Here is a 24,412-nt window from a genome sequence, read left to right on the forward strand (position 1 = left end):
AGCATTGGGTCAGATGCATCACCTTTCCGGCTGCTTGGCCAGGCTAAGATCTGGCCGTTGCTCCCCTCCCTTATTCTATTCACAACAAATTGGTCTGAGGTTGTGGAGCAAAGCTGACCTTGCTCCCAATCCTCAGAACTTCCCGGAGGACAGTGAAACTCAGTGGAGGCTGTGATGATTGTCTGAGTTGTGAGCTCAGTCTTTTCAGCTGTGTGTGTTTTACCTCCATTTTCTGTGGCTACCTCTTTGGCCCTACTCAGGTTTTATCTCAGGAGAGAAAGGTTGATAATGATTGCGGGGAATTGAAATGATAGGGTTTGAATATTATTTTGTATGTTCTTTGGTTTCCACTCAGGGCTGCCCCTAAACTAATCCTACTCTTTTGGACAAAGGTTTCTAGAACTCTTGCTATGATTTATTAGTGTATCTTTTTATTTACTAGTTGCTATTTGAAAAACTTCATTTTTCAAAATAGGAATTGAACACCAATTAGTGAAGGCTGTGGGCAGTAACCAGAGGAGAGCCTACAGCTACGGAAGCTGCCCTGAGCCAGGCCTGCCACTCCAGGCCCCTGGGACAGCCTGTCTGGATGTCTGGGAGCTCCGCATTACTCACCAGGCTGCACAGGATGGGCAGGAAGATGGTGATGGTTGCTGGGTTGCTCACAAACTCAGTGACAATGGACACGAGGATGCATGCCAGCAGGGTGACAGCCCACGGTGGGAGGCTGCTCAGGGACAACATCTGGTTCCCAATCCATGTAGAGAGGCCAGAGCTCTGTAGGAAGAGGTGTTACAGTAAGAAGAAAGGAGAAGAAGCACATCCCAGCTAGAGATCTTAGACTTCAGAAGGTCAGGGATGTTGGAAGGCTGGACGACCAGGGATCCTCTGATCTTTAGTCTGACTGGAACCAGAGGTGTTCCTGATTTTTATGGTTCGATCATTTTTGTAGTTCAGAAAATTGGTTTTTATGATTGCACAACATTCAGTGTTTGGGTTTCGTCATGGGACATGGAGAGCCACCCTAATTGCCATGATCCTTCTTAGGACTTTGCCATGACAACTTGTCAGAGGTTGGAGATCTTTGCTCCTCAACTTCAGTCTCGTTACCCTTTCTCTAGCCTCTGACATCCTTACCCTGTGCATTGATTCGACAATGCCCTTCACAGAGTGCCAAGTATAGCCATTTAATCTGCTTTTGAAACCAGTTTATTTTGTTACCTAAAAAAGGGAAAAATTTATCAACATCTGTGGATAGTAGCCTTTCCTGTGTTTTTAAGGAGATGAACAGGCAGGGCTGAGCACTGGAGGTTTTACAGGAGTAATAAAGTAGAGGGGGATAAAAGTCTATTTCCACTTAGTGGAGAAGGTGCCTCTTAAGTGCCATAGAGGCTGGTCATTCAGCCCCAACCTGTTTTAGGTTCAAATCTCATCATGGCTGACATTAGTTCTACTATCTGTCAGGAATTTTTTTTTAATTAAGAGGAGGGTCTTGCTCTATTGCCCAGGGTCCAGGATGAGTGCAGCAGCATGATCACAGCTCACTGCAGTCTCAACCTCCTGGGTTCAAGCAATCCTCCCACCTCAGCCTTCCAAGTAGCTGGGACCACAGGCACATACCATCACGCCCTGCTCTTTTTATTTGTAGAGACAGAGTCTTTCCATGTTGCCCAGGCCTGTCTCAAACAGACCTGGGCTTAAGCGATTCTCCCACGTTGGTCTCCCAAAGTGCTGGGATTATAGGTGTGAGCCACCGCACCTGGCCTGCCAGTGCTTTTTGAAGACACAGATATGAAGGCATATTGACCGTCCTGAATTTATTCCACTAGCAACAGTTACACACATCCACTTAAATAAATGAACATTCTGGCTGGGTGAGGTAGCTCACACCTGTAATACCAGCACTTTAGGAGGCTGAGGAAGGTAGGTCACTTGAAGTCAGGAGTTTGAGACCAGCCTGGCCAATGTGGTGAAAGCCCACCTTTACTAAAAATACAAAAATTAGCTAGGTGTGGTGGCACGCGCCTGTAATCCCAGCTATTCAGGAGGCAGAGGCAGGAGAATTGCTTGAACCCGGGAGGCAGAGGTTGCAGTGAACCGAGATTGTGCCATTGCACTCCAGCCTGGGTGACAGAGTGAGACTCTGTCTCAAAAAAATAAAAAATAAATGAATAAATATTCCCACTTGGAATGATTCATTTGGTTGGAAGATGTTCACCTGCAAATAGGGAGGGCTACCTCCCTCTCCTAAAAAATGAAAGGTATCATTGAGTTTTGTATTAAAAACTCCAGGTTGCCATATGCATCCTGCCTCCCTTCCTCTCTCTCTTCTATGGTGACAGGCTCTGCCTTTTCCCATGGTACCCTAGAAACTGCGAATGCAATGACAATATGGAGAGCAGGGACAGAAAGGAAGGTGAGACATTTATGATTCCTCAAGCTCTTAAGTCCTGCTACACATGTTTTACTATTAAATACCGCCTTCCCTACACTGCCAGCATGTTACTTTTTCTCCTCTCTTCCAAATTCATCAAAAGCTCATTTCATCTCTACAGTACCCTGGCCACCTCCTGGCAAGCTCATAGACAACTGAGGACCAAAGGCCTTCAGAATTCTCTCTGTTGTAGCCACTTCACCTTGTAGAACTTTTCTTCCTTTTTTTCCTCTCAACTCACTGAGAGCTTACAAACCCAATATGTGCAGACTGCATCAATTAATGCTTGTTTCAGAGCCCCAAGGCCTCCAGGAACTCTTTAATTGTTCCCTCTGGTAACACATTAAACCTTGCTCATTGGACAGAGGCAGGGGAGGAACAGCAGTTAGTTGAATGGAAATGGTACATTATATAAAGAGATGGAGTTTTACTTAACGTTATCCAAATAGTACTGGTAAGTAAAGTGAAATAATTTTTTTTTTCTTTTTGAGACAGAGTTGTGCTCTGTCACCCAAGCTGGAGTGCAGTGGCACCATCTCAGCTCACTGCAACCTCTGCCTCCCGGGTCCAAATGATTCTCATGCCTCAGCCTCTTGGGTAGCTGGGATTACAGGCATGTGCCACCATCCCCGGCTAAATTTTTTTTTTTTTTTGAGAGGAAGTCTCACTCTGTCGCCCAGGCTGGAGTGCAGTGGTGCGATCTCGGCTCACCACAACCTCTGCCTCCCAGGTTCAAGCAATTCTCTGGCCTCAGCCTCCCAAGTAGCTGGGATTACAGGCGCGTGCCACCACACCCGGCTAATTTTTGTATTTTTAGTAGAGACGAGGTTTCACCATGTTGGCCAGGCTGGTCTCAAACTCCTGATCTCAGGTGATCCACCCACCTTGGCCTCCCCAAGTGCTGGGATTACAGGCATGATCCACTGTGCCCAGTCCCTGGAGTTTTGCTTTTGTCACCCAGGCTGGAATGCAGTGGCACGATCTCGGCTCACTGCAACCTCCTCCTCCTGGGTTCAAGTGATTCTCCTGCCTCAGCCTCCCAAGTAGCTGGGATTAAAAGTGTCCGCCACCACGCCTAACTAATTTTTGTATTTTTAGTAGAGACAACGTTTCACCATGTTGGCCAGGCTAGCCTCAAACTCCTGGCCTCAAGTGATCCTCCTGCCTCACCCTCCTTAAGTGCTGGGATTACAGGCGTGAGTCACCATGCCCGGCCTAGTAAAGTGAAATAATTTATTGGCAATTATTTTTCCAGCAGAACTATTTTATACTATGATTTGAAATAAATTAGACTTCAAAGTTAGACAAAAACACAATCAAAGGAAGTCTTAATTCTTTAAACTCTTGGTATGAAAACATTTTACAATGGATTTTCTTCACTAATGTCAAAACTGAAATTATTTCAAACTCTGTAGGAATCACATATATGCTACCTAAATTATTATTAAAATTAGTAGAGGCAGTAGGCTTTACAGAAATAACTGTACTATCTCTAATATGTGCACAATTTTGTTTTTATTGTTTTTTTTTTGTTTTTGTTCTTGTTTTTTGTTTTGGTGGCAGGGGATAGGGTCTCCCTCTGTCTCCCAGGCTGGAGTGCAATGGTGGGATCTTGGCTCACTGCAGCTTTGAACTCCTGGGCTCAAGCGATCCTCTCACTTCAACCTCCTGAGTAGCTGGGACTACAGGTACGCACCACCACACTGGGCTAACTTTTGTTTTTGTAGAGATAGGATCTTACTATGTTGCCCAGGCTAGTCTCAAACTCCTGGACTCAAGCAATCCTCCCGCCATGGCCTCCCAAAGTGCTGGGATTACAGACATGAGCCACTGTGCCCAGCCCAATTTTGGTTAAAAAAAAAAATAAAATCTTGCCAGGCCAATCTTGTCAGAGGCCAAAACTAACAACTGAAATTCAATAAAGATAAATATAAATATCCCGAACTTGGAATGAGAAATATTGATGGCATATATATAGGATGGGGTGAAGGTCCAGTAATGATGAACAGTTAAAAAGAATGAAGGGTTCTAATTGACTGCAGTTTTAATATAATTGTTGACATGAGTGCCAAGGATGCTTTATAAAAGCTTCCATAAAAATGCAGGGTGCTGCTTGAATCAGAGGTGAGAGATGGGGCTTGGGTAATATAACTACTCTACTTGGCAGTAGACTGACCACCCCATAGACTATGTTTGAATAAGGCCAAGTGTAGTGAGTCCTGAGGAGAGAGACCAGATGGTATGGGTCACTACTACTTGATTTTTTCATGTTAATAATTATTATCTAGGAGAGGGTCCCAGAGAACAGAGCTAGAGCCAACAGTGGACAGACAACATGCAGAAGACCTGAGCTGAAAATAAGGAACAATTATTCTTTGTTCCCTGCCCAGGGAGTACCTTGTCACTGGAAGTGTCCAAGCCAGAAGTGCCATGGAGGGGAATCTCACCATGGGCAGGAGATAGGACTCATTGTTTTCTAAGGTTCTCCTTAGTGGAGTATTCTGTGACCTTATTATTAATAATGCAGATAGTATTTTGGGCCATGAAAAGTGAACCAAGCCGGGCACAGTGGCTCATGCCTGTAATCCCAGTACTTTGGGAGGCCAAGGTGGGTGGATCACTTGAGGCCAGGAGTTCAAGACCAGCCTGGCCAACATGGTGAAACTCCATCTCTACTAAAAATACAAAAATTAAGCTGGGTGTGGTGGCGTGTGCTTGTGATCCCAGCTATTTGGGAGGCTGAGGCATGAGAATTGCTTGAACCTGGGAGGCAGGGGTTGCAGTGAGCAGAGATGGCGCCACTGCACTCCAGCCTAGGTGACAGAGTGAGACTCTGTCTCAAAAAAAAAAAAAAAAAAAAAAAAAAAGAGAACCAAGTTTAGCATGGGATAATGCATGTAGATGAGATGGAGGGAGAAATAGTCTGAACCTTAACCTAATTCATTCTTAAGATTGTTTTCTATTTTATGGAGGGCTAACACTTTAGGAAATTCAATCATCCCCTCACATCCCCACCCCACTTAAAAGATCTCATCCAAAATCCTCCCAGTCAGAAAATCAAGAAGCATTTACATCAGCTTTAGCCTAGATTTTCCAAAGGGGCTCAGTCTATGTATTGTGGACAGACAGTTCACCATGTGTCACTTGGAGCATCTCTGGTCCCTTACAGAGATCGCCTATTACCACTCCTATTACCTATTACCTATGTCTATCTCCTGTTACCATCTCCTATTGCCACTGTCAAATCCCAGAAGGAGATGGCTGCAAACTCCAATAAACCTTTTGCTTGTAGCAGCATGGGCCCCATAGATGAACTATCAATGCCCATGTGTCATGACTGTGTGGCACAGCCCATCTGTTCCTCTGTTCCTAGTAGCGCTGAGAAGCTTAGGGCAGCAGAGGACATCCATCCTGCTCTATTGTTTCCCTTCCCAGGGACTCTGTGAACATTCTCAGCTGCTTTGAGTCTTTCCTCCCATGCCCATAATGACTCATTAGGTAAAGATGCTGGAAAAGTATTTGACCCATAAGAACAGAATTCAAGCCGGGTGCAGTGGCTCATGCCTGTCATCCCAGCATTTTGGGAGGCCGAGGCAGGTGGATCACTTGAGGTCAGGAGTTTGAGACTAGCCTGGCCAACATGGTGAAACCGCGTCTCTACTAAAAATACAAAAACTAGCTGGCATCATGGTGCACGCCTGTAATCCCAGCTACTTGGGAGGCTGAGGCAAGAGAATCGCTTGAACCCAGGAGGCGGAGGTTGCAGTGAGCTGAGATTGTGCCACTGCACTCCAGCCTGGGTGACAGAGCAAGACTGTCTCAAAAAAAAAAACCCCAAAAAAACAGAATTCAAGAATTACCTTGCTACCAGAAGCCAGAGCATAGCCTCCCCCAACCAGAATGACAATCTCCCAGGGCATGGTCTTCTGGAAGTCCTTCCACGTGATGATGGGCTCGGTCCCCAGTGAGTGCTCCTGGTTCTCTCCTGGATTAGAGAGAGATGTAAAGCCAGATAAACCCTGATGGACGTGATTTGTGGAGACAGGAGCCTAATTGGTGAAGTGGATGATTTGGGATACTGCTATTTGGGGCGGGGGCCGGGAGGGGGGTGGGAATCTGAAGGACCTTGGTAAATCTCTTTGGGAGTATTAGTCTGATTTGGGTATTCTTCAACTAGAGCTACCCCCAGTTTCTTCCCTTCTCTCACCATCATTCTTTTTCCCAAAGCAGGGCTTCTTCGCTGGAATGAGGAAGAGGAGGAAGCCAAGGAAGACAGAGACTGTGGCATCAGTACGGTAGCCTTTCCTAGTAAAGAGACAAGCATAGCTGAGGAGAAGGGTCAGGAATTTTCAGGAGTAACATGATGTCTCGGAGCAGTCTGTCCGAACACAGTGCCTCTTTTTAGGACTTATCTAGAGGTAACATTAAGCTTAGTTCTTGCCAGTTGCTGCCACGCTATCCACTTTGGATTTAATGGGCAATGGCGAATGTCTGGAGGCAGGGCCTGGCTAGAGTAGATGTCTTAATGTGAATTTGTGAGCCCGTTAATTGGGGCAAGTCCTAGATGGAGTGATCAGGAGTGGAGTTGGTTAGATAAAGGAGAATAGAAGAGGATGAGACCTCTTTCCTATGAAGGCCACACCTCCATGTGCCTCCCTTCTCAAGTGAGAAGTTGATTTCTTCTTTACAGTTGGTACTTTATAGATGTTTCCTCCTTTAACTTTCATAACCACCTATGAGGTAACCAAGCTTCCAAGAGCTTATGTAATGAGACTACATGCAGCACTGGATTCCAACCCCAGACCGGGACTCCAAAGAGTGTTTTTCCTTCCTGATTTCACACTGCAGCCTCCCTAAAAAGAGTGGATTTCCTGGGGAATGAAATCTTCCTGGCTTCATATCTGCCCCTGAGAGTCTATGAAGTCTTGCCTGAAGAATTGGGGTGAGGGGGTTGTTCTTAAGGAGGAAATGATATCACTTACTTTTCAAAGAAAGAATCCCAGCCAGGGACAAAGCCAGGCTCCCGGGTAAACCACAGTACGGTCATCAGGATGAAGAAAAATCCAGTCACCATTTCTGGGTAGCTATAAAATAAAACAGAAAGACCCACTCAGGAACTGAGAAATTTCTCCTAGCTTTTTCACTTTGCTTCTGGAAGCTTCTGTATTTAGAGTTTCAATACCCTAGACATAAAACACACTCACTGCCTAACCACTATGAATGGCTGACAGTGAGATGAGGAGAAGACTGAGTGGCCCCAGAAAACATGACATTAACCATGTTCCTGGAGAAACTTCAGTAGAAAGGGCAAGAGAACACAGCACTGTACATTTGTAAAATAATTTCAAATACAGCCTACAAGGAGAGTGCAGTGAAATAGGCAGCCCCAAACACTGTGCTGGTGGGAGGAGGAATTGCTACAACCTTTTTGAGGCCATTTGATGATACACATTAGAAGCCTTAAAGTTGGTCATTCCCTGGCTGGGTGTGGTGGCCCACGCCCGTAATCCCAGCACTTTGGGAGGCCGAGGTGGGCGGATCATGAGGTCAGGAGATGGAGACCATCCTGGCTAACACAGTGAAACCCCATCTCTACTAAAAATGCAAAAAATTAGCTGGGCGTGGTGTCACGTGCCTGTAGTCCCAGTTACTCGGGAGGCTGAGGCAGGAGAATCGCTTGAACCCAGGAGGTGGAGGTTTCAGCGAGCCAAGATTGTGCCACTGCACTCCAGACTGGGCAAAAGGGTGAGACTCCATCCCAAAAAAAAAAAAAAAAAAAAAAAAATAGTTGGTCATTCCCATCATCTAACCAGAAATGCATACTGAGACATTAATTACCTATTAAAAAATGGAAGCATCCTCTATATCCAATGGTATTTCATGACACTGAATACATTTTGATACAACTCTGTGTTAAAATGAGATGCATCCATTGATAATCCCATTTCCACAGCAGAGTTAAGGATGTGGAACATACTGTACTGAGAGTACAAAGTTGAGTTGAGAAAGGCAAGGTATACAACAGTTTCAGTGTGGACTGAATTTTACCAAAAATACATAAGAGTTTTGCACAAAAAAGCATGGAAAGAAGTGTTAACATGGGGTGCTAAGAATCCAGTCAATTTTGATTTTTTTTCTTATACTGTCTTGTATTTTTGAAATGTTCTACAATGAACATGTATTCCTTTTATAACTTAAAGCTTTAAATAAGACAGTGTCTACCTGGATTGTTTTATGCAAAGTTGTATGTGCCAATTGCCATAAAAGGAGAAATAGCACTAAATAGGAAGCTGGGTCCCTGTGGAAAAGCTGATGGAAGTGGCTGAGGGTTGGTTAGTGATTTCTTGGACGCTCTCTCTCCAAGTCTGTCTTTGATACTGCCTTATACCCTAAATATAGCACAGAGTCTCCCATCTCCCTGGGAGTGATAACCGCACCACTGTGGTGGCGCGTCTGAGCAATGAGAGGTGGCCTGGCTTTGGAAGGAATTCACATTTTCCAAGAGGGTGGCTGTGCTGTCTTTCCCTTCTTCTGCCTCTGTCTGCTCCATGGTCAGCACTCCACCCCATGCCATGGCTATACCCTGGACTCTGAATAGAGCAAAGGGGAAGGGTGGCCACCTGAAATCTGGGCCAGCTTGGCTTTGGCACTAAATAGCATCTTCTAAAGGCCTGATTCAGAGTTGTGGAAAATTCTCCCAGTGTCAGGGATTGTCAGGAACAGGGCTGCTCCTGTGCTCACTTTACCTGCTGTGTTTCTGCTGGAGAAGGAGGGAAGAGGAATGGCTGATTTTTACCTAATGTCTCCCAGTTTTTCATATTCTTCTTGGATCCTCTTCTCTGACAACTGTTCCCTTTTGGTCTTCTTCTTCTTGCTCAGAGAGCAGGTCTCTTTAAAACTGAGAAGGGAGAATGAGCAAATGATTAAAGAAAACACACTTCTGAGGCCCAGAGATCAAATATTAGGTAAATACTAAACCGCTTGCCTGCTGTGGTCACTTTTCTCCTCTTTCACATGCTCTATCCCTCTATCCCCCACCTATTCATATGGCTTTTATCTGCCAAGTTATCCGGCCTCTCATCAACCTTCTCCCCTAGCCTACTGGGGATATCCATCTGGGTCTGTCTCTGGTGTATTGGTGTGAAGTGATGTCTCAGGGACTTGTGCAAGTGTATTCGTGTGGGGTCATTTCTACCTACTTGTCTTTTACGTAAGTAAAATAATCAGTGTAATGTGGTATATGTGTCTAGATGTATAAACTAAAACTTTTATTCCACTATGTGTCTAGATGTATAACTAACATTTTTACTCCAGAGAAGCTTTGTCTCTAGCCAAACAAACACACAAACATCTGCGTATATGGAACACACAGTGTTAGTTTTATGTTAGCAATACTGGAGTTAAGAAGTATATAGTTATCATTGGTTTGACAACAGTCTGAGTAAAAAGAAAAGTCAGAGAACATTTCTTGACCAATGGGAGCATTGGGTTACATGGACTAATAGCAAAACATTATATTATCTTCCCTTATGTGTTTGAAACTGATCAAATTTGGAGTAGACTGACTTGTTATTTTGAGGCATATGAGCATATTTTATTCAGGCTACTAAGTATAAATCACCCATGCCTATAAAGTTAAACCTAATGCAAATTCTACTTAGAGTCATATTTTTTATTTCCTATTTCTTGGAGTAATTGGAAGTGCTCTGTATGCTTTGAGAGCAATAAAACGACATTAAATACTCTTCACCTCAGACTTTGTATAAACTGGACAGGCTCTCTAACCATTTAGTTGGAATTAAGAACATTTCGTTGTAGAGCTGAGAGTGAAGTGCAGAGTTCACAAATGTTTAGAATGTCTAGAAGAGACAGCACCTGACTCTCAGACCAGACCACTGCATTCTCCTTGGGCATCCTCTGTGGTTACTTGGCAGTCCCCCTTGCACAGAGCCATCCAGGGCCCATGCCATGGCCTTTGGATCAACAGGGGGGCTTCAGTGCTTTGCTGAAAGGGCCCTGGAACTCACTTGCAGCCCAGGAACAGCCAGTGCATCCAGAACCAGCTGACCACCAGCATGATGAGGGATATGGGGAAGCTGAAGAGGAACCAGGTGCCAAAGTTCACCACCTCTGCGGCTGGATACTGGCTGGAGGGTAAAGAACCAGGTCAGCAATTAGAAAGGGAGGGTTTCCATATGGTATTTTGGGGTAGTATGCCAAATGCTCCCTAAAACATACAGCTGGGCTAAGTGGGGAGATAATGATAACGATATGGTAAAACGTTGCCTAGGACTCATTTAGTTGACAGTTGCAATTGTACAGAGCCCAGACAAGAATCATGAAACTAGCTAAAAAAAGGAATCAAAACAACTAAAATTAATATCATTAAAGTGTATATACTTTGCACTCAAGAGAATGACTCAGGACGTGTTTGCCCTTAAAGATTCTGCTAAGTTTATTCATCTGGTTTTCAAGGCAACAGAAAATGGAACAGCTTGGTATACTTTGTTTCTAAAATCACCAAAGGAATGTAAGTTTTGATTGGGGGACACAATTCTGGAGAATCTGGAGCTTTAGGGCTTAATGAAGTTTTTAGATATTAACGGTGCCCATAAGAGAACCAGGACTTGGAATCTCCAAATCTTTATCAACATCCACTGGTCTCAGGGTAGAGGGGATTTGTATGGGGAACTGCTCATTCATCAGCAGGCAGAGCTGTGGCCCCTCAGCCCAAGTGCTGTTTCCTGGGGAGCCTGGATGGACCACGCGAGAGCTGTGGCTTTTGCCTAGACGAGGCTCAGGCCTAAATGACCTATGCTGTGTTTTCCTTGGGTCTCTGTTTTTGGGGCTGGGCGTAAAACTCCTCAAGTTGTGAGACATCCCTCTATCAGTGATCCCTTCTCCCAGATCTTTAACTTCCCTCTCATCTGGATCATCCCTACCAGCATCTAAATGTCTCCCATCTTGAAAACTCCGTCTTGACCCTGCTCTACTTTCCTTTTATTTTTTTATTTTTATTTTTTTTTGAGACGGAGTCTTGCTCTGTCGCTTAGGCTGGAGTGCAGTGGTATGATCTCAGCTCACTGCAACTTCCGCCTTCTGGGTTCAAGCAATTCTGCTGCCTCAGCCTCCCAAGTAGCTGGGATTACATACAGGAGCACACTACCATGCCCAGCTAATTTTTGTATTTTTAGTAGAGACGGGGTTTCGCCATGTTGGCCAGGCTGGTTTTGAACTCCTGACCTCAGATGATCTGCCTGCCTTCGCCTCCCAAAATGCTGGGATTACGGGCATGAGCCACAGTGCCCGTCCCCTACTTTCCTTTTATTATCACCCCACATCTCTCCTTCCCTTCACAGCCAGCTCTCCATTTTCTCACCTCTACCTTAGTCCTCAACTCACCAGAATCTGGCTGCTTCTCCCACCTCTTGACCAAGGTCCTCTTGCCTACATCACCAGTAACCTCCACATCACCAAATCTAATGGATACGTTTTCATCCTTACTTTGCATCATCATTCATTGACATTAAATATTGTAGGCACTTCCTTTTTCTTGAAATACTTTCCTCCCTTGGGTAGAGTGGCACCAGATTTCCCTTCCCTCTCTGCTGTCTGATATTGTTTCCTTCTGTCCGTTAAATATGTGAGCTTAATATTTATGTCCTCTGTTCTCCTTACCCTGTATATTCTAGGTAATTTCCTCCACTCCCGTAGCTTCCCTTACCAGGAGGCAAAATGAATATGTGGCCCCTTTACCCAAAGGTTATTATGAATATCCAGGCAGGGACAGCAGAGCATTAAACCAAGCGTGACGCCTGTCTGGGCATGGTGGCCCTGTGTCCCTGTACAGGCGGCACGCCCATGACCCCAGCGCTGCAGGCCGCTCTCTTCAAATCTATGCCTTCAGCCTAAGCATTAATATTTGCCTTGACATTCACAGGTCTGTTTTCACCTGGACATCTCAGCCTCTATGCCACTTTTTCCAACACCCCATACTTCCTCTTTCCCCTCTATTCCTTCACATGCTGAGGGCAGGAGCCTGAGAGGCAGACACGGCCTTTCCCTCTCTCAGGCCCTTTCTAACCTTCCTGAGACCCAGCAAGTGACCTCTGAGTTTCCCTTAAACCTGACTGTTCCTCCTCCCCACTGCACTGTCAGCCAAGCCACCGGCTGCCCTGGACAACTTTGCAGCAGTGTCCTGAATTGCCTTCCTGCTGTCTGGTTTCTCCTTTCCAATCTGTTCTCCTTTTTTTTTTTTTTTTCTTTTTCATCCAGAATGAGTTTTCAAAACTATAAATCTGACCATCTCACTCCCTGCTTAAAATTCTTTAAAAGCATCTCAGAGCCTTTCAGATGCAGTCCAAGTTCCTCAGTGGGTCTTGCCAAGCCCTGAAGATCTGCCCATCCAGCTCCCTGGCCTCCTCTTACCCTCTGTCGTTTTCTTTTATGTGCTCCGCTGTCCTGCCTCGGAGCCCTCCTACATACTGCTTTCTTTGTCTGGCTAATCTCTCTTAATCTAGCTTACTCCCGTCCTTCAGGTTTCCACATGGTCGCCTCTTCAGGGAGGCATTTCCTCCCTGCAAATGGGCGAGCTCTCCCAGCAGGGCTCTCCCTGCAGAGTCCTGGACTTCTCCAGTCTCACTTAGCTATAATGACTTGATTTCCCCCTTTTTTTCCTTTTTTAAATTTTTATTTATCTATTTATTTTTTGAGATGGAGTCTTGCTTTGTCACCCAGGCTGGAGTGCTGTGGTGCGATCTCAGCTCACTGCAACCTCTGCCTCCTAGGCTCAAGCGATTCTCCTGCCTCAGCCTCCTAAGTAGCTGGGATTACAGGCACCTGCTACCATGCCTGGTTAACTTTTGTATGTTTAGTAGAGATGGGGTTTCACCATGTTGGCCAGGCTGGTCTCGAACTCCTGACCTCAAGTGATCCGCCTGCCTTGGCCTCCCAGAGTGCTGGGATTACAGGTGTGAGCCACCGTGCTGGGACTCTTTTTTTTTTTTTTTTTTGAAGCGGAGTCTTGCTCTGTTGCCCAGGCTGGAGTGCAGTGTCACGATCTTGGCTCACTGCAACCTCTGTCTCCTGGGGTCAAGTGATTCTCCTGCCTCAGCCTCCTAAGTAGCGGGGATTACAGGCGCCTGCCACCATGGCTGGTTAACTTTTGTATTTTTAGTAGAGATGGGGTTTCACCATGTTGGCCAGGCTGGTCTTGAACTCCTGACCTCAAGTGATCTGCCCACCTTGGCCTCCCAGAGTGCTGGGATTACAGGTGTGAGCCACCGTGCTGGGACTTTTTTTTTTTTTTTTTTGAGATGGAGTCTTGCCCTGTTGCCCAGGCTGGAGTGCAGTGGCATGATCTTGGCTCACTGCAACCTCTGCTTCCCAGGTTCAAGTGATTCTCCTACCTCAGCCTCCTGAGTAGCTGGGATTACAGGTGTGCACCACCACACCCAGCTCATTTTTGTATTTTTAGTAGAGACGGAGTTTCACCATGTTGGTCAGGCTGGTCTAGGGATCCTGACCTCGTGATGCGCCTGCCTTGGCCTCCCAAAGCGCTGGGATTACAGGCATGAGCCACTGCGCCCGGCCTTTTTTTTGTTTTTGTTTTTTAAATAGAGACACTGTCTTGCTCTATCGCTCAGGCTCGGGTTCAGTGGCAGGATCATGGCTCACCGTAACCTCAAATTCCTGGGCTCCACAATTCTGTCTCAACCTCCTGAGTAGCTGGGACTGTATACAGGTGCGTGTCACCATGCTCAGCTAATTTTTAAATGTTTTCTAGAGACAGGGTCTCACTATGTTGCCCAGGCTGTTTTTGAACTCCTAGGCTCAAGCAATCCCCCCGCTTTGCCCTCCCAATGTGCCTTATTACAGATATGAGCCACTGTGCTCAGCCTGTTTTTCCCTCTTTCTACGGAAACTCTTCTATTCTCATTTTCTACCATATCTCTAGCACCTAGTCCAGTTCCTGACACACAGTGGTGGTTAGTAAATATTTGTTGACCAAGTGAATCACTTACTTGTTGAAGTGTTCCAGGAAGATGAGGCTGGTGGAGGTGCCGATGATGGTGGTCAGGCCGCCAATGGTAGCGGAGTAGGATATGCTCAGGGAGAGGCACTTGCAGATCATCTGGTCATGGTGGGACCTGTACTTTCTGTTCAGCTTCTGCTTCCTGGGGCTGGGGGTCAGGACTTGTGGCTTTTCCTAACGAAGGAAAATCAGCAAATCTGTCCAACCCAGCTTGGGCTGTCTGGCCGAAGCATGAGAGGCAGGAGGCACCATGGTACAGCGGAAAGGGTTTGAGCTTGGGTGTCAGAAAGACAAATCACAGTTTCTACCATTTGTCAACTTGGGCATGCATCTGAGCTGCAGTTTCTTCTTTGTAAAATGGTGGAAACCATATTTTCTCTGCTGAATTGTTGTGAAGAGTAAATGAAGTAATATATGTAAAGCGCTTAGAACACTTCCTGGCATTTAATGAATGGTAGGCTATTATTATTTTTGTGATTAATGTTATTATTGACAGCATGGGTTTTTATTTGAACTCCTGTAAAACTGGTGTCACTCTACATTGTGTTTGAATAACAAACAGATGTTATTCCTGTAGAGTTAGAATGACAGGATTTGGCCTTCCCCTCAGGCCCTTTCTAATCCTACCAAGACCCATCAAGCTACCTCTGAATATCTCTCAAATCTGGCCATTCAAGTCCATCAAACCCTGATGGAGAGATGACTAAAAAATACACCTGGATTACATAAAAACCCTAGTCTTCATTGGGAAGAGGGTTGAAGTGTGATTATTTCCTCCTTCCCTTCCTCATTCTTTTCTCCTTGCCTGACTTTTCCTCTCTACTTTTTTCTTCCCCCTTGCAGATAAACTTCAGTTTAGTTGTGGTCCTCTCTGAGCCTGCTTGGTCCAGATGACGGCCTTTCAGGGTCAGAGAGGTTGCTGAACTCTGGTCTCAAGTGTTTCCTGAAGAAGCAAGTCCCTCCTGTTCCCTTCACACCTGGCCACCTTCACTGATTCTTCATGAGACTAGGAAAGTCCTGGTGCAATTGTCAGCAAGTCAGGTCATGAAAGAACCAATGGGGAAGCGCCACCTTGCCACATCTCTCAAAGCCCTTTCCCACTGCCCCATCTTCCTAGTGGGGCCGAAGTATGGCTGACCCTCCAGACCTCTAAAAGATCCATTGATTAACAGAGCTGGAAGAGACCTCAAAGATTCTTTGGTCCAGTGGTTTTCCACAATCCTTTCTTCTACTGAAATTTTACACAGAATAGTTTAAGTGTAGCAATTGGATACATCCTTATTTTTTTGAGGCAGGGTTTCACTCTGTTGCCCAGGCTAGAGTGCAGTGGTGCCATCATAGCTCACTGCAGCCCTGACCTCCTGGGCTCAAGTGATCCTCCTACCTCAGCCTCCTGAGTAGCTGGGACTACAGGCATGCACCACCATGCCAGCTAATGATTTTACTTTTATTTTTAGTAGAGACGAGATCTGGCTGTGTTTCCCAGGCTGGTCTTGAATTCCTGAGCTCAAGTATCCTCCTGTCTTGGTCTCCCAAAGTGCTGAACCACCGCACCTGGCTGGCATGCATCCAATTTTGTAATTGGAAGTATATTGATGGGTTAATTGCATGTGGTCAAGGAGACTTGGATTTGAATCAGAATGCTCCCCTATCTAGTTCCTTGGTCTTGGGTTATGATTTCATCTCTGCCTTGTTTGCAAAAATGGAGCTCAAAATCGCTACCTCATTGAGCCAAGACCATAGAAAAAATGCTGAGTGCAATGATTGATACATAATAAGCATTTAATAAATGGTGGCAGTTATTTATGATGATGGATATTAAACAAGTGAGACTGTTTTGATGAACACAGACATTTGAAATCAACGGTCGTAAGTGACAGTTGCTATTTTATACAAGCCTCAACATTCATTCGACTTCTGCATTTTGTTTCAGAGGAATCGTGCCAGGAAGACAATTATTAGTTCAGAAAAGCAGGTGCCTTACAATCTTAGGATACTCAAATAAAATATTTGCAGTGTCCCTGAAGCACCTTTGAAGACTAGTTTGAGGACCTCTGATCTACACCAAACCCCAGCTTTTATCGTTGAAGACACTGGGGCTCAGGCAGTGGACTGTCTTGCTACAGTCAAGTGAGCTTGATGTCTCACCTCCATGGCGCACACAGGCCAGACATGTATGAGAGTAATGAGTGCCTGGTGACAGCTCACTAGCCTGATTCCCTTACGACTTCAAGACCAGTGCCCTTGGGAAGCAGTTCACAGCGTTTCATGTAGGAAACAGAGCTAGAAGGGGCCGTTCTATTACCTGGGATGGGTGTTGCTTCTTGCCCTGGTGTTGGTTTGCAGTTTTGATGGGGTTGGTGATCGAGGGCACACCATTCAGGTTCTGTTGGGACAAAGGCCATCTCACTATTAGGAAGAGGAAGTGGTGAGCCAGGTGCCTCGAGAAGGACCACCTAGTCATCCCAGGGCCACCCCATGCCTCAGCACTGTGGGAACCAGAGGCCAGAAGCCAGGGGGAGCATATACACCAGGGCACCTCAGCCAGGCCTGCCCCGCCCAGCCTGGTGTCAAGTTCTCCACTTGAAGAGGCTTTGAAACTAGGCAGAACATGGCTCTGCCCTTAGAGGAGAGCCAGCCTTTCTGGGACTTTATTAGCTAATGAAGAACCCTTTATATATAAGATGAAAAAAAAGAAAATAAAAAAAAAATAATCACAAGCAAGTCCACAGTTTTTTGTTTGTTTTAGAGACAGGGTCTCACTGTGTTGTCCAGGCTGGGGTCAAACTCCTGGGCCACAGCGATCCTCCTGCCTCAGCCTCCCCAGTAGCTGGAAGTACAGGTGCACATCATTGTACCCAGCTGAAGTCCAATGTTTAATTGGCCTTTTATACTTCTCATGAAAAGATGTATAACCAGATTTGGGGGAGGTGAAATAAGTTCGAGTAACTGTGTGCAGGTAAACTCTGCTTTCCCCTGTAAATGTGTTCTTTTTATTTTTATTTATTTTTATTTTTTGAGATGGGGGTCTCGCTCTGTTGCCCAGGCTGAAGTGCAGTGGCACGATCTGGGCTCACTGCAACCTCTGCCTCCCAGGTTCAAGTGATTCTCCAGCCTCAGCCTCCCAAGTAGTGGGGATTACCGGTGCCCATCACCACTCCCAGCTAATTTTTGTATTTTTAGTACAGGCGGGGTTTCACCATGTTGGCCAGGCTGGTCTTGAACTCCTGGCCTCAAGTGGTCCTCCTGCTGTGGCCTCCCAAAGTGCTGGGAGTACAGGCATGAGCCACCACGCCCAGCCAATGTGTCCTTTTTAATAATAACATTTTGTCAATGGAATCCTCACTGAAAGGAACTCTAAGGTGGATCTGTAGCTGTTGAAAATCTGGTTCTGAATCTTGGGTTTCCATGAAGAAGTGCTGAGGGATTTTCAAGTGATTCCAAAGCACAGAAAAACCCCAAGGCCATACCTCGTTGTGCATCAGAGTGGTGAGGTCTGCGTTGGACCTGCTGGAACCAAGCAGAGGACACAGGAGCCACGTCAGTGAGGCCGACTCTTGGGAGGGGAGGTCCCCCTGCATCAGGCGTTTGGTGTAAGGGACTTAAACTCTCTGGATTCCAGTTTTCTAGTCTCCAGAGAAGACTAATCTCTCCCTTGTCTTCCTTGCCTTCTGAGATGCTGTAAGGATTAGTGGGGCCAGGGGCCTGCTTCCTTCTGAGGGCAGGGGCAGCACTTTCCTTTGATATTAACAATCGTCCTAACAGCAGATGTGGAGTGGATATTAGATACAGAGTGCACATATATGGGCTTTAACCCCCAGACATTGTTAATCCTCATCACAGATCTATGGTCCTGGCATTCATACCTCCATTTACACCAGTACTTAGCACGGGGATGCTAAGTGGCAGAGGAGGGTAGGAGTCCAGGAGTCTGTCTCTCTGGAAAGCCTATGCCCCCTGACCATGTTCTCACTGGCTGACTCTCATGTTCTCACTGGCTGACTCTCATGTTCTCACTGACTGACTCTGGGAAGACCACTATCTAGAAAGGGGAACTTGTGATATGCGTATCGGAGGTGACAGGAGCAGGGAGGGCCTGGATTGTACTCAGGGAAAGTCAAGGGAGAGGGAGAGGGTGGCGGAGGGGGAGGACTTCTGATCAGCAAGTACACCTCAGGGGGTGAGTCTCTCCCACCCCTGCTGGTCCCCAACCTTTGCCTTGAGGACAGAAGAAGATGAGAACTTAGCCATCAGTGTAACTGACACACTGAGTGATCAGTGAATGTTTCCAGTTTGTCTTAGTTGCGAGGACAGTGGGAGCCACCAGCTCAGCCACTGTGAAGACAGAGAGCGTATTGGGCACACACATGCGGGATGTGGGTCCTGCGGCCATGGTCCCTCTTCAGGCTCTGTCAGGGAAGGATAAGAAGCTGACAGGCGTGCAGAGGGAAGTGTTCTTTGGAGTGAGTTCTTAGCCTGGGAGGAGAATGTGCTGTGATGTTTCCCTTCCCTTCTTCCCAAACTGGGTGAGGAGGGTAGGCGAGGATCCTCAGGTAGCATGGGAGGTGGTGGCCGCAAGAGTGCTGTCTGCACACCCAGCAAATGACCCAGTTCCCACCAGCACAAAAGATGCTTAGAGTTCTAGGGACAACTCAGGCTTTTCTTTTGGAGTTTGGGGATACATTTTTGTGTGGAAAAGAGCAAAGGCAAGAAGCCAGTAGGGTGATGCCAGAGAGGCCACAGGGAGGAGAAAAGGCCACAGTGAGGATGGCCTTTTCCTGGGTCACCTGGGACAGGCCTGCCCAGAGGCAGAGGCAGCCCCAATACAGGGGTTGTGGGGGAGTTAACCACCAGAGCACAGGCCCTGGAGGGTGGCGTGAGTGTTAATCCCAGAGCAAGGCCCTGCCATCAGGCCTGAGGCCCTGCAGAGGGCGCCATAATGGGATGCTCCAAAGACCCTGAAGGCAGTTGCCCCACAGATGAAAGAGCCAGGGACTGAAATCTCAGAGAGGGCACCAACCCCAGACCTCAATAGCCCCCATCCAGACCCTTCTCACCCATTTATCTTTCCTGTACCCTAGAGCTGCTGTCCTAAGCCCAGAAAAGTCAGAAGCAGCAGAGTGAGGGTGCGGTTAGGGGAGGAGGAGAAGAGGGAGGTGGAGGAAGACAGAAAGAAGCTCAACTCCCTCCCCCGACTTACTTTCACCTTCTTTCTTCTGCAGGCCTAGGGTGAGGGGTGGGTGGGTATGGGAGAAGCTTTGGCTGAGAAGTTGAAGTTTTGATTTGAATTTGGACTAGTCTCCCAAATGTCTGAACATGAGATTGTTATAATACCTGAAAGGAACCAGGAGAGCTACGGGATTTGCCTGGGATATCATCAAGGGTGATGTCATCAAGAAATCCAATATGCTATGATTGAAGATAGTGGTGGAGAAAAATAAAGCGATTTCCTGATGGCACCCTTCCACGTCTGTCCCACTGTGAACGCTGATTTCACCCAATGTGCGTTCTCCTTTTTTACAACAAGGGCAAATGACAGAGCTGAGCTGTATTACAAATCCAGCTTTTAAATGTGGACTATTCATTGTGGCATGCCTGTGGGCCACATTTTGAAATAGAATCTCCAAATGGAATCAGCTGTTAATAGAGCTTCCTCCAGGAATGTCTGAGGCTGCTTCTCCTTTTCCAGCTCTGCTTCCCATCATCACAAGGCCCTCTCACCTCCTGTCCCCTCATCCCCTACCTGTCACCTAAGTTTTCTTTGCCATATCTAACAAGACCAAATCTACCAAGACCTTATCTAATATCTAGAAAATATTTCATGATTCTCCAAGAATCTGCAGTGGCATCGAGATGTGAACGGTTTTCCGTTAACAAATTAAACATACTATTTTCCTAAAAGGGACATGAATTTAGAAGAGATTCTGCATGGTGGCTGTGTGGACAGTTCATATATCCACTGAGATTCAGTGTGGCCTTTTTATTTCTTCCTCATCACTGCAACACTGTGGTTAAGGGAGTGACTCTCCAGGTCCTGACAGGTCACTCCTAGGTATGGAGAGGAAATGGGGGAGGTTGGGCGGGGTGGGGGGGTGGTGTGGCAAGGTGGTGAGCTTGGGTGGTACATCTCAAAGAGCTGTTTATGGGTCTAGGTCCCCTCTTTTCTGACCTCCCCTATGGACTCTGAGAGGCGCTGTCTGGGAGAGGGCAGTCATACTCACTCTTCATTGACAAAGATGAGTTCCAGAGAAGGTTGGCTGTTCTTTACATCCAGACCTATGAGTAGCAAAGAAAAGCAGTATGTGAGAGGTGGAGGCTGGGGCTGACCCTGTGGGTTGGAGCATAGCTCAAGGGCTTAGGGCGGAGGTGGGCCATATGGAGTGGGTGACATTTCTCCTTCCCTTTGCTCTGTAAATAGAATGGGGCTCATGGATGCAGACTGGCCCCAGGGTTTTGCAGTGATCCTTGAGCATTTGGGGGCAAAGAGCAGTGTGTACCCTTGAGCATTTGGGGGAAAAGAGCCCAGAAGTGAAGGAGGAAGGAAGAGCCAGAACAGGGAGTTCAGGGAAGCTTCAGAGTCCAAGAGCTGGGATGGGAAAGAGGAGAGAGGGAAGAGGAAGGGGAATGTGGGGGCATGGCTGAGGGGGTCCTGGGGTGGGCACAAAGTTGGGCAGTCTCCCTAGAGGAGCCAGGCAGGAGGACCCCAGGGGAGGTTGGAGGAGCAAAGGAGAGATGAACTCCAGCAAACTGTACTGATGGGTTCGGCCTCTTCGGTGTTGGAGTTGCCCGCCACGAGCTGCTCGTCCTCAGCACTGACCAGCTCCTGCAGCACGGCCTCCACGATGGGCATCACCATGGCGGTGGTGGAGGTGTTGGACAGCCACATGGACAGCAACGTGGTACAGCACATGAAGCAGAGCAGCAGCCTGGAAGGCAGGGAGGGTTGGGGCAGAGCGTCCACGGAACACACATCCCTGCGGCTCCACAGTGGGCCTCCTACCAACCTGCTGGGGCTGGTCTAGACAGCTGTGGCTGGAAAGGCAGGCATTTGTCCTGCAGGGTGCCATTCAGCTCTGTACTCCCAATGCTTGGCACAGCGTAAGTATTAAAGCAATACTTCTTGAATGAATGAATCACACTTCATGGACTAGCGGCCTTAGCCAGAAAAAAGTCCTTAGTGAAGCAAAGAATAGCTCTGGTAGTAGGGCCACAGGGTGTAGACTTACCATTGTTTTTCTGTCTCCACGGACATTGGCTGGAGCTTGGCGGTGATGTGTGTTTGTGTGTGGAAGGCAATACTTTGTTTGCCCTCGCAGCCAGCAATTCTGTGAGCGCCACGGCACTCCTTGCTTTGCCGCCAAGTCACCATAGATATCAGTGACCCAATAGAGATGAATGTTTGGAGCTCACAGTTCCACCCACTACCTGTCAACATGCTGAAGGCATAGCCCCCAAAGTCACAGAAGTGTCCCGTGTCACTGTGTGCACTTTTCCAGCTGACATCTTAAAGCGTCAACACTTGGAGAAAAACACTAACAAGGTTAACCCTCTAATTATTTCTCTTTGGCTTTGAGAACGTTGTGCAATGTGTGCCTGTACAGACATGTCCTAGTTTCCATAAGATAAGCCAACATAAAGACTACTGTGTTTATTATTTTAGGTGGAATCACTGACTTTGCACAACTTGGGGACAGTACGTTTATCATGTGGACTCCATTGGCTGACAGCGACTTGACTTTGCCAATTCTGTACCTACACGGGTAACTGCCTCTGGGGGTGGCAACTTGCTGACTGATGTAAATAGGGAGGAGTGGAAATGTGAGAGGATAAAAATTCTTGCAGATAGTACACAGAGATTTTAAAGAGCCACAGAGTCTCCATATGATGTGACGAAATGCCACTGTGTGCCTGGGAGGTTGAGTGTAGGGGCAAGATTATTACTGAGTTAGGGGGTGGATTAAGCTGTAGTTATCAGACCTGTTTGACAATCTGGGAGACAGGAACATGCTTTTAAGCATAACCTATAGTCATCTAAATGACTCATACTGAGAACCAATACTATATTATTTATTTATACTCGTGTTGACTCCCATAGGAGTCAGGGCAGCTTACATAAAATACAGCAAGAAAGTTGTAAACTAGAAGGAGGTGAGCAGGATATTCCAAAAGGGAAGGTACAGGCAGGGGAATCCAAATGGAACATTGCTGAAGCTAACACAAAACTCAACCTTGACACCGTAACACATTCCCCGAGGGTGGGACTCCCTCCCGCATCACAGTCAAATGCAGTGTCTCTAACTGGGTCTGTGGTCTGAACTGATGACAAAAACTCAGGGTGGATGGGAGGAAACATTCCCGTCTCCTTCAGTGACAAAGGAGAAGACAGCCACTTCCGGTCCAGCCTGTTCCCTGATACACAGGAAACAGGTTGGGAAACAATTTCTCTTGGTCCATCCTGTTTTACCTGATGGGCCCCTATATGTTGTAAGCTGCTGCCCTTGCAGCCTAGGTCAATGGGTAAATTCTTTGGATAATGATAGCAAGGTCACAGGTTTAAATCTCTACTCCATGATCACAGGCCCTCTCCCTGGACGGGTCCTATGGCTCTGGTGTCAGCCCGACCCTTTGGTAAAAAAACAGCTGAAGTGGACATCCCGCAGTGACCTGAGACCACTGTCCTGGTGGCACACTGGGAGCTAGAAGGATGCCCTATGTCCTGGCATCCCAAATAAGACTTACATGCCCGGCTTGGCTCCGGCCATCAAGACCATGCGCAGAGCAATGCGCTTATGCAGGTTCCACTTCTCCACGGCAGCCGCCACGCAGATGACCCCCACCAGCAGCAGCGTGGTGTTCTTGAAGTACTCCGCCGCCACCTGTAGGGAGGCCAGGCATGTCAGTCACCCTCCCGGACCAAAGACCCAGGGCCCAGCACCAGCTGGGAGAATGGGCCATACCCAATAAAACCTGTTCTCAATCAAAGAGGCTGGCGAAGGGGAGGCAGGGGGGTGAGGATTATTGAAATAGCCGCCCATCCTAGAGTCACATCTACTGAGCGTTCATTGTGGGCAGGCACTGTGCTAAGTACTTGACAGATTATTTCATTCAATCTGGCCCATAACTCTATAGGATAGATGTTCTTCTCCACTTTGGAAAACATAAAACCACTGTATTTAAATATGATGTGAATATGATTTTAAAGAATAAACACATATAATTTTATATTGATCTTTTAAAATAACCCTAGGTTTCTCCCCAAACCTAATTTTTAATGTTTTTAGAAAATATTAGAAAATTATTTTCATTTCATTTCTATTAGAAAATTAATACATACTCAGTATGGAAAACTTCAAAATATAAAAAAAGTTAAAGACAAAATTACCCTTAATCATGCTACTGTAAATACTTATAGTTTCTTCCATTTTTCCTATACCTATATAGATAAATGCATTTATACAGTATGTATACTTTTATATCTTGCCTTTTTTTCATTTAACATCATATCCTCATTATTGTTTTTCTTTGAGACAGAGTCTTGCTCAATTTTTTTTTTTTTTTTTTTTTTTTTTTTGTGAGATGGAGTCTCGCTCTGTCGCCCAGGCTGGAGTGCAGTGGTGCGATCTCGGCTCACTGCAAACTCCGCTTCCTGGGTTCACGCCATTCTCCTGCCTCAGCCTCCCGAGTAGCTGGGACCACAGGTGCCTGCCACCATGCCTGGCTAATTTTTTTTGTATTTTTAGTAGAGATGGGGTTTCACTGTGTTAGCCAGGATGGTCTCAATCTCCTGACCTCGTGATCCTCCTACCTCGGCCTCCCAAATTGCGGGGATCAGAAGCATGAGCCAGCGCACCCGGCCTTAATTTTAAAAATTTAAATAATTCCCAATAATTCTCAAGTTCCAATGAATTCCAAAAATGAAAATAGTACAAGGAATACCTATACAC

The 24,412-nt window shown here is 46.5% G+C and overlaps 1 protein-coding gene and 1 long non-coding RNA gene across 8 annotated transcripts in view, besides 3 other annotated features; one reads left to right on the forward strand and one right to left on the reverse strand.

Moving 5' to 3' along the window:
- SLC13A4 (solute carrier family 13 member 4) overlaps positions 1 to 24,412 on the reverse strand; it is a 46,956-nt gene that overhangs the window by 3,676 nt on the left and 18,868 nt on the right. For 2 of the 5 annotated variants that reach the window (XM_047420184.1, NM_012450.4), the window contains exons 3-14: positions 23,208 to 23,344; positions 21,222 to 21,394; positions 20,690 to 20,744; positions 17,939 to 17,975; positions 16,774 to 16,854; positions 14,458 to 14,642; positions 10,462 to 10,581; positions 9,231 to 9,332; positions 7,417 to 7,518; positions 6,642 to 6,739; positions 6,295 to 6,419; positions 616 to 777 (exon numbers count right to left, since the gene is read on the reverse strand). In XM_047420184.1, coding sequence (XP_047276140.1) covers positions 616 to 777; positions 6,295 to 6,419; positions 6,642 to 6,739; positions 7,417 to 7,518; positions 9,231 to 9,332; positions 10,462 to 10,581; positions 14,458 to 14,642; positions 16,774 to 16,854; positions 17,939 to 17,975; positions 20,690 to 20,744; positions 21,222 to 21,394; positions 23,208 to 23,344 — 1,377 coding nt within the window. Of the gene's footprint in view, positions 1 to 615; positions 778 to 6,294; positions 6,420 to 6,641; positions 6,740 to 7,416; positions 7,519 to 9,230; positions 9,333 to 10,461; positions 10,582 to 14,457; positions 14,643 to 16,773; positions 16,855 to 17,938; positions 17,979 to 20,689; positions 20,745 to 21,221; positions 21,395 to 21,694; positions 22,136 to 23,207; positions 23,345 to 24,412 lie in introns of those variants that run through there. The other 3 variants (XM_011516024.4, NM_001318192.2, XM_017011962.2) reach the window with 2 other exon arrangements.
- On the forward strand, positions 2,105 to 23,690 carry LOC105375521 (uncharacterized). 3 transcript variants are annotated; one of them, XR_928021.3, is made up of 5 exons: positions 2,105 to 2,416; positions 3,998 to 4,122; positions 6,665 to 6,852; positions 15,312 to 21,566; positions 22,129 to 23,690. It is a non-coding gene; the product is annotated as an uncharacterized LOC105375521 (long non-coding RNA). The 3 variants fall into 3 exon arrangements; XR_007060541.1 differs by lacking the exons at positions 2,105 to 2,416; positions 3,998 to 4,122; positions 15,312 to 21,566 and having other exon boundaries at positions 6,733 to 6,852; XR_007060542.1 differs by lacking the exons at positions 2,105 to 2,416; positions 3,998 to 4,122; positions 6,665 to 6,852; positions 15,312 to 21,566 and adding an exon at positions 21,924 to 22,008.
- Positions 11,791 to 12,504: an enhancer, noted in NCBI's record as "H3K4me1 hESC enhancer chr7:135381445-135382158 (GRCh37/hg19 assembly coordinates)". NCBI's record gives its function as "activates a minimal SCP1, AML or CMV promoter by ChIP-STARR-seq in primed H9 embryonic stem cells {active_cell/tissue: H9 hESC(primed)}" and the evidence as "EXISTENCE:reporter gene assay evidence [ECO:0000049][PMID:30033119]".
- Positions 12,505 to 13,218: an enhancer, noted in NCBI's record as "NANOG-H3K4me1 hESC enhancer chr7:135382159-135382872 (GRCh37/hg19 assembly coordinates)". NCBI's record gives its function as "activates a minimal SCP1, AML or CMV promoter by ChIP-STARR-seq in primed H9 embryonic stem cells {active_cell/tissue: H9 hESC(primed)}" and the evidence as "EXISTENCE:reporter gene assay evidence [ECO:0000049][PMID:30033119]".
- Positions 19,195 to 19,489: an enhancer, noted in NCBI's record as "tiled region #13285; K562 Activating DNase matched - State 12:CtcfO". NCBI's record gives its function as "activates a minimal TATA promoter and a strong SV40 promoter by Sharpr-MPRA in K562 cells {active_cell/tissue: K562}" and the evidence as "EXISTENCE:reporter gene assay evidence [ECO:0000049][PMID:27701403]".

The sequence above is a fragment of the Homo sapiens genome, chromosome 7, assembly GCF_000001405.40.
Source record: "Homo sapiens chromosome 7, GRCh38.p14 Primary Assembly".
Taxonomy (NCBI): Eukaryota; Metazoa; Chordata; class Mammalia; order Primates; family Hominidae; genus Homo; species Homo sapiens.